Below are 8038 nucleotides of genomic sequence, written 5' to 3'. Positions count from 1 at the left end.
AGGGGAGGTGGTGGCTAGAACGGCGGACAGGGTGCCCAGAGGTGGAGGGGAGGTGGTGGCTAGAACGGCGGACAGGGTGCCCAGAGGTGGAGGGGAGGTTGTGGCTGGAATGGCGGACAGGGTGCCCAGAGGTGGAGGGGAGGTTGTGGCTGGAACGGCGGACAGGGTGCCCAGAGGTGGAGGGGAGGTGGTGGCTGGAACGGCGGACAGGGTGCCCAGAGGTGGAGGGGAGGTGGTGGTTGGAATGGTGGACAGGGTGCCCAGAGGTGGAGGGGACATGGTGGTTGGAATGGTGGACAGGGTGCTCAGAGGTGGAGGGGAGGTGGTGGCAAGAGCTGCTCTCACAGGATGCAGTCCCAGGGGCTCTGAGCCCAGAGGACAGGGCACAGCCACGTGCTCCTCTCAATCCACACCTGCTCCTGAGCTCAGCTCAGCGATCTCCCACCCCAGGTTCTCCTCCAGTCTGGTCATTGGTGGCTTTTAGCTTGCAGCTCCTGCCTATCTCTGCCCGCTTCTACTTCACCAAGTCTCCGAGAAGAGGCCTGACCAGGCAGGAATCCCTGTGGAAGACTGAGGAGGGGAAGAGCTTGTGTGGCCAGGCCACAGCCTCCAGAGCAGGCGGGGAACTCCGGGACGCTCTGCTGCTGCTGTTGTGGTGGTGGTGTTGTGTTGTGTAGTGTTGTGTTGTTGTGTTATTGTTTTTCTGTTGTGCAGTTGTGTTGTTGTGATTTTGTGTGGTGGTGTGGTTCTGTGATTGTGTTTTGTTCTGTCATTGTGTGGTTGTGTTGTGATGTTGTGATGGTGTGTGATAAGGTTGTGTCATTGTTGTGTGGTTGTGTTGTTGTGTGCTCTGCCACTGGTGGTGGTGGTGGTGTAGTGTGGTTGTGTGGTTGTTCTGCTGTGTGGTTGTGTTGTGATGTGGTGGTATTGTGTGGTGTGGTTGTGTTGTGTGGTTGTGTTGTTGTTGTGTGGTTGTGTCCTCTGTCACTGGTGGGAATGTAATATGGTGGTGGTGTGTGGTTGTTGTTCTGCTGTGTGGTTGTGTTGTGATGTTGTGTTGCGGTGGTGGTGGTGTGTGGTGTGGTTGTGTGGTTGCATGGTTGTTGTGTTGTCGTGTGCTCTCTCACTGGTGGGAATGTAATGTGGTGGCGGTGGTGGTGTGTGCTGTTGTTGTGTTGTGATGTTGTGTTGTTGTGGTGGTGTGTGGTTGTTGTTGTGTTGCTGTGTGCTCTGTCGCTGGCGTTAGTGTAATATTAGGGCAAGAAGTTAAGGATGCCACCTGGACAGGTTCTGCTTCACGGCTTGCTGGGGCCTCAGCCGGGTCGGGGCTGGCAGCAACCCCTGTGCCTAGGCTGGGCCTCCTGCATTCCCTCTGCTGGGACCAGATTCTCTCGAGTTGGCACCAAGTCAGACAAGGGGAGACAGCCCAGGGGCCCACGGGCTGGAGGAGGCCCCAGTCCAGCTGCTGAAACCCTGGTGCTCCAGGACGTCTGGTGGCCAACGTGGGCTGACATTGACCCCGGTGATGTCGTCCAGCCTGGCTTGCTTACTGTGGCCTGAGCTTCCTGGGCATGCGACAGAATGACCTGACATTCCCTGATGTCTATGCCCAAGAAGGGGCTGGATGGACCCCTGGGTCCCTTCCCAGTGACAGAAAGAGGCACCAAACCCCAGAGCACAGCCAGCCTCTAGCATGGGGCACAGAGCATCTGGCGCAGACACAGCGGCTGGTGGGCATCCGGGGCTGGCAAGTCAGGACTCAGCCTCTTACGGCCAAAGTGCCTCCTCCGCCAGAAGCCAAGCTGTTCAGTGTAAGGAAATGTGACAGCAGAGATCCCCAGTGTCGTGCCAGTCCCACGCCTGCTCAGCACCATGGCAATCAAATTTCACACCACGTGGCTCAGTCTTGCCCTGCTTGTGAGCCCACTGCGATCAAGGTGCAGCTGCGTGGGAGCCCATTTCTCAGCGCTGAGGGGTTAAGGTTTGGCCTCTGTGTGCCGCCTGTTCCCTGCATCCTGGGCTGCCCTCGTTCCCCCAGGACGGCGAGTCCTGTGTCGGCCTGGTGGCCTCTCAGGTCTGTCTCTGGCTGTCCATCCCCTAGCTGGGGCTTCCCAAGCCCATGGGGCTGCCACCTCTGGCTGGGTCTGGCTCTCGGAAGCTCCGGCTACTCAGAAAACTGTGCCGCCTTGCACCTCCCCATGATGGCAGGCAGACCCTGGGAAGATGATAAGTTGGTATCAGACGGTGTTCAAATGCATTCAACAGCATCCTGTCACTTTATTTCATGGTATTCTAAAAATGTGTACTATGTTTTATATACTTCCTGATACAGTTTACAAATTTGAGCAAAAGAAAAAGTGCTACAAAAAATGTTTAATTCCCTAGGCTCACATAAAACAATCTGCATGCAAGGTTGTCTTAAGAGGTAACATTCTTCTGACTCTTACTACTGGCTGGGCTTAAATAGCCTATAAATTAAAATGCCGAAATGAGGATAAATAAAACATAATAAGTAGTAAGATTTACTCTCTGTAACCATATAGAAAATATTTTAATTTAGAATTGTCTTTAAACCATGCTTCTAAGGCATTACATCAGAAATTAGTATACTGTAGTCTCTCTCTCTCCCGCTCTCTCTCTCTGGATCTCTCTCCCTGATTTTCCCTCTCTCTGACTCTCTACTTCTTTTCTCATTGAAATAAATTTTTTCAACAAACCAAACTTTCCTCATATGTTTTCCTAGATTTTCTAGATGGCTGGTTTCTCTCTGGATACCATTATTTGCTCAAGGTTGAGATGCATGCCTGCGGCTGAACCCTGATCATGGTAACATTGACTCACCTGAGACATGACTGCTGTCTAGGTCCACTCTGGTGTCGCCAGCCTGTGAAGGCTGCCTGTCTCTTTCAAGGACCAGGGAGCTCATGGACTGCAGCCACACAAGCCAAACAAGCCCTGCCATGAACCCGGGGGGCAGGCCGCATGCCAGAGCTCCCAAGGAAGCTGAGAACAGGAGCACTACCTGCATTTCCGGGGGCAAACGCAGCCCTGACCGCAACTGCCGCTCACACCACAGTGAACAGGACACCAGCTCAGCCAAAGCCTGTCTCACCGCACATCAAGGCTGAAAAGAGGTGGCCTCTGTGATCATGTCTCAGCACAGACAAAGCAACACCACAACCAGAGCCCGGAAGTGCCAGATACCCCTGTTCCTGGGCAATATGAGTGACTCATGTGCTCCCACAAAGAAATCCTTAACCTCACTCCTTAGTCGTGCCTCCTGGTTAAGATTCACTGCGATGGCCATCCCTCCATGTCCCCTATTTCCTGACAGCAGCCTGGGCTGAGAGCCTCTGACCCCCACCCACAGTGGCCTGACAGCAGCTTTTCTCAAAGCTCCCCCGCCGCTCAGATTCTGGACAGCGTTGCACCCGGGACTGGGAAATGGAGGGCATGCTCTGCTGTGGGAATAACTCAGCCCCAGAGGAGAGCCAAGGGTGAGGCAGCCTCACCGGAGACAGCAGTCCTGCTGAGAAACCCTGGTCACTGGGAACTCACAAAGGACCCAGGTATGAGACCAGATGTTGAACCCTGTGACCATGAAGAGCGACTATCCTTGTCCCCAGCAGTCTGGACAGAGCTCTCCTCCGCTCTGAGATGAGATCTTCAGGTGGCCTCTGGCTCTCTCCTGACCGACCTCCACAGCTGTCTGCCTCCAGAGAGGAGTGTGCAAGAGAAGAGGTCTGGTGTGTGTGCATGGCTGCACACTCTCAACAGCACAAGGCACCCCTCGGCCACCAGGCTGTGGGACCCCGAGAGAGATAGGTAGGGCTGCCTCTGTGTCCACTGGAGGGATGGTGAGGGCAGGTGTGTGGTCAGGAGCTGCTGAGAATGCTGCAGGGTGGGGGGCCCAGCTCTGCAGGAGGAGCCGTAAGGGGAAGCTTCCCCAGGGAGCAGGGGTTTGAACTGAGCCTTCAAGGACATGTTTTCCAGGCAGAGAGAAGCAGTTTGCAAATAACACACCTATGAAACATGGGGTGTGCTTGAGAAACAAAGCTTGGGTGTAACTGGGACTTGCACTGTGCTCCTGGGTGGTGCAGGAAGGGCTGCCACTCTCCCAGTTCCTGCCCCACACCCCTTCTGCCTCTGCTTCTGCTCTCGCTTCTCCTCCCCTGCCACTGACCCTCCTGCCTCTGTCCCCTCTAAGGGCCCTAGTGATTGCCTCGGGCCACCTGGCTGATCCAAGTGAATCTCCTGTCTCAAGACTGTAGCAGAAGCATGTCTGCCAAGTTCCCTTTGCCACAGGAGGTGACATATTTGCAGTTTCCAGGGATTAGGAGCTGAACGTCATTGAGGGCCATTACTCTGCCTCCAGGGCTGTGTGTGAAGCAACTTTGACGGCAAATACAGAATGCACAGAGCAATGCACCTGCTTGTTCACCAACACTGTGAACACAGTGCCAACTGCCTTTTTCTTTCCCAAACTGTCACTGAATTTACACTAACAGGGAAGAATGAAGTAGGTTACACACTGATGACACAGCACACCAAGCCAAGACATCGGCCTACCTCGTGTCTGCAAGAATTAGAGCGAGAGAAGGACCCACGGTGCCATCTTTGGGGCAGAGCCTTTGCCCTTCCCCCAGTGACATCTCACTCCATTTACAGTGCTGTGTATTGCCCACATGGCAGAGAGGCACTGAGGCATGGCGTCCACATTGTGACACTGTGTGCTCCAGGAACGTCAGTGATGAGCTCAAGGTCACCAAGCCCAGCAAGAGACTGCAAGTGAGGCTCCCTGCTTCCCAGGGGAGCCACAGTCATCAAAGCCCCGCACATTTTGCTCTCAAAAAAATTTTTTTTGATGGAGTTTTGCTCTTGTTGCCTAGGCTGGAGTGCAATGGTGCAATCTCGGCTCACTGCAACCTCCACTTCTTGGGTTCAAGTGATTCTCCTGTCTCAGCTTCCTGAGTAGCTGGGATTATAGGTGCCCACCACTACCCCCAGCTAATTTTTGGTATTTTTAGTAGAGATGGCATTTCACCATGTTGGCCAGGCTGCTCTTAAATTTTTAAGTGACTTTCCCCTGCCGTGACATGTAATCGTGGAAGGAATATTGTTCTGGGCTGGTAGAACGCTCTGTGTTTTGATCCCATGCCTGCCCTGCTGGAGGTGGTCATTTGGGAGGATTAAATGGGACCGTGCCTGCAGAGCTGCGGCCACAATGCCCCTTGCTTCTTGAGCAGAGCTGAACAGATGCCAGCTCCTTCCCTCCGGCAGGCCTGCGCTCTTCAGAGCTCGCCTCTGGCGGCTTCTGCGGGAGGCTGATGCTGGTGAGGAATGGTGTTTCCTCTCCACCTGCAGATTTCTGCTGCTCCCCTCCCAGAATAGCTCAAGTAGGCTGTGACCTCAGCGAGCACCCTTGAGAGACTCTCGAGGCGCCTTGAGAAGTCGCACACGAGGCTGCTGCATCTGGGCTGGATCCATTATTCATGCACGCAGGTCTCGGCAAGCACAGTAATTTAGAGTTTCTCGAAGCGCACGCTGCAGCAACCATAAACTACGTTCTGTGTGCTTCAGGGAAAAATTACCTTTCCCTTGCCGAAGCCAGGGGTCATGGCAGAAAGCTCACACAGATGAAGCAAGGGGCCGAGGAGGAGATGGAGGCGGTCCAGACCTTTCAGAAAAGCGCTTGGAGACCCCACGCTGGGAAGCCGCCCCCGATCACCTGCATGACCTCTGCAGCCTCAGCTTTCTCCCTGGGAAATAAGTCACCGAGGTCCGCAGGTGCACCCCTCTCCACTCTCCCTGCTCCTCCCATGACCCCCTGGGAGTAACTTACTGTTCCCCCAAATCATCTCAGTAGATGATGCATGCCTATCTCCCGTTGTTTCAGGAACCAAAAACAGTGCATGTACTGCCCCTGGCACATGGAGACAAGAATACATCTCACACGTATATTTATCTCCATCTTCATAGCTCCCATAAAAAAGCATAGCTTTTATGTCTTCAGAGAATGTAAGTGCAGAAGCGCAGATTTCTCCAGAAAACATAGCACTGAGAAAGCAAATGAGCAAATCCTCACAAACACCACTCATGCTAAAGGGGTGGAGATAAACATAAATAAAAATGAAAGAAAGGCAGCAGCAGCCAGTTTTAGGTGCTGGAATGCAATGAGGACAAAGCACCTTGAGGAATCTGTGAGGTCAGTGCTAGCTTCTCACTCTATCTTTTGCTTTCTGAACATGACAGATCCGGCGTGGCTGCATCCCCCTCCTCAGCTGCAGCGCCGGCTTCTCATTTCTATTCTCCCCAAAGCCCAGCTTCTCTGCAGAAATGAAGGATGTGGCTCCACAGTGAGCAGGCGGGCTGTGTGTGAGCTGGGCGGCAGCTCCAGCCATCCCAGGACACACGGGGATCTCTCACCATGCGGGTCCTCTGTGGCCCTGTGCCCGCCTCCTGCCTGGCCAGAGCCACACAGAGCTGGGTCCTGGGGCTCTCAGAGGCTTCCTCTTCCATCAGGCCTGGGCTGCCTCCTCTCTTCTGGTCCCCTCAGGACCTGGACCTGGTGCTGTCTTCAAGCTCTCCTTATGTCATAGTTGTTGACTGGTGACAAGAGCATCTGTGTACGCGCAGACCCAAGGGAGGGTTAGGGGGCTGCGGCCTGAACACGTGGGGCCCCAGCAGGTTGGTGATGCCTTCTCAGGCGGCAGGTGGAGTTGAGGACACATGACAGGCTCCTGCTGCATTCCTGCCCACGGGCAGTCTCCGGATTGTGTCCCTGTCAGTGTGTGGGACAGTGACATCCATGGGGCCCAGGATGAGAGCCAAGACCCCCTCCTTTAGTTTCCCAGGCTCCTGCTTGATCTCTGTCCTGTCTATACAAAAACAGATCAACCTATCAATGGCCCACCTGGTGGCACACATTGTGACTGTACCAATGCCACCGAATTGTTCACCTGAAAAGGGTTAATTTTATGTCATGTGGAGTTTGCCTTTTTTCCCCATCATATAAAACAGCCTTCTGAAATCTTTAAATCTTTAAGGCTGTCTAGGACCTCAGAGGTCATCTTCATCAATTTCCTCATTCCTCAGATGGAGAAACCGAGGCCACACCCCAGATCCTGTGGCTCTTTCAGATTCTCTCAGGTTAGAATCTGGCTCTTGTCTCCATCATCCCGCCCTGGCCCCCCACACTCTCCTATTCCTTTGGGCAAAGGTTAGAGTTTGAAAGAGGCCGAAACCTCCAAAACAGAGGGCTGGGGGCTAAGAGCAGCACTGTCTTTGCTGCACTTTTTGGACAACGTATTTATTCGTCCAGGTTGGGGGCTGGAAGAATGAATGCCAACAGCTGCAGTTTGCAGCAATGCCAGATAAAATGCATTGATCTCCAAGGCCCCTTTATCGTTTTATGATTCTACAATTAACAGGCATCAGCTGCTGTGGGGAGGGTCTCCCAGGCCCTCTGGTGCTCCACTGCCCCTCCCCATCTGAGCAGCTGGGCGGTCAGCAATTCTGAGTCCTCACAGCTCAGCCTACACGGCAGGCAGATTCTGAGTCCTAACAGCTCAGTCTACACAGCAGGCAGATTCTGAGTCCTAGCAGCTCAGCCTACATGGCCAAGCACGGCTCTGTCCTGCTCACAGAGGCGGGAACTTCCAGAGCCTTCAAGAGGGGACAAGCTATGCAAGTTCCTGAGCAGGGTGGGGCTCAGGGCAGGCGAAGAAACACCCCAAGTCCCGCCTGGATCTCATCGAGGGGGTTCCAGCGAGATCCACTTACTCCCAAAAGAGCTTTAAAGGCAGGATTTTCTGAGAACCCCACAAGGGTGAGCTGCCAGGAACCTGCTCTTGCCCTGTGCGAGTCCACGCGGTGATGGGACATGGTGTGAACTCACGTGCCTCTGGCATTCCTCCAGGCCCCTGGGCACTCAGTCCCACCCCATAGAACATCAGTGCAGTCCTGATGGAGAGCCACTGAGGTGTGGGTCAGGGATGGACCTCTGTCTTTTCTGGCCCATCTTCACTGAGCAGACTTT

General features: G+C 54.1%; 1 annotated feature.

Moving 5' to 3' along the window:
- Nucleotides 7287-7787: an enhancer, noted in NCBI's record as "H3K4me1 hESC enhancer chr2:2641129-2641629 (GRCh37/hg19 assembly coordinates)". NCBI's record gives its function as "activates a minimal SCP1, AML or CMV promoter by ChIP-STARR-seq in naive H9 embryonic stem cells {active_cell/tissue: H9 hESC(naive)}" and the evidence as "EXISTENCE:reporter gene assay evidence [ECO:0000049][PMID:30033119]".

The sequence above is a fragment of the Homo sapiens genome, chromosome 2 (genome assembly GCF_000001405.40).
Source record: "Homo sapiens chromosome 2, GRCh38.p14 Primary Assembly".
NCBI classification, from domain to species: domain Eukaryota; kingdom Metazoa; phylum Chordata; class Mammalia; order Primates; family Hominidae; genus Homo; species Homo sapiens.
Note: the sequence above shows the minus strand (reverse complement) of the source record. Positions and strands in the feature narration are given on the sequence as shown.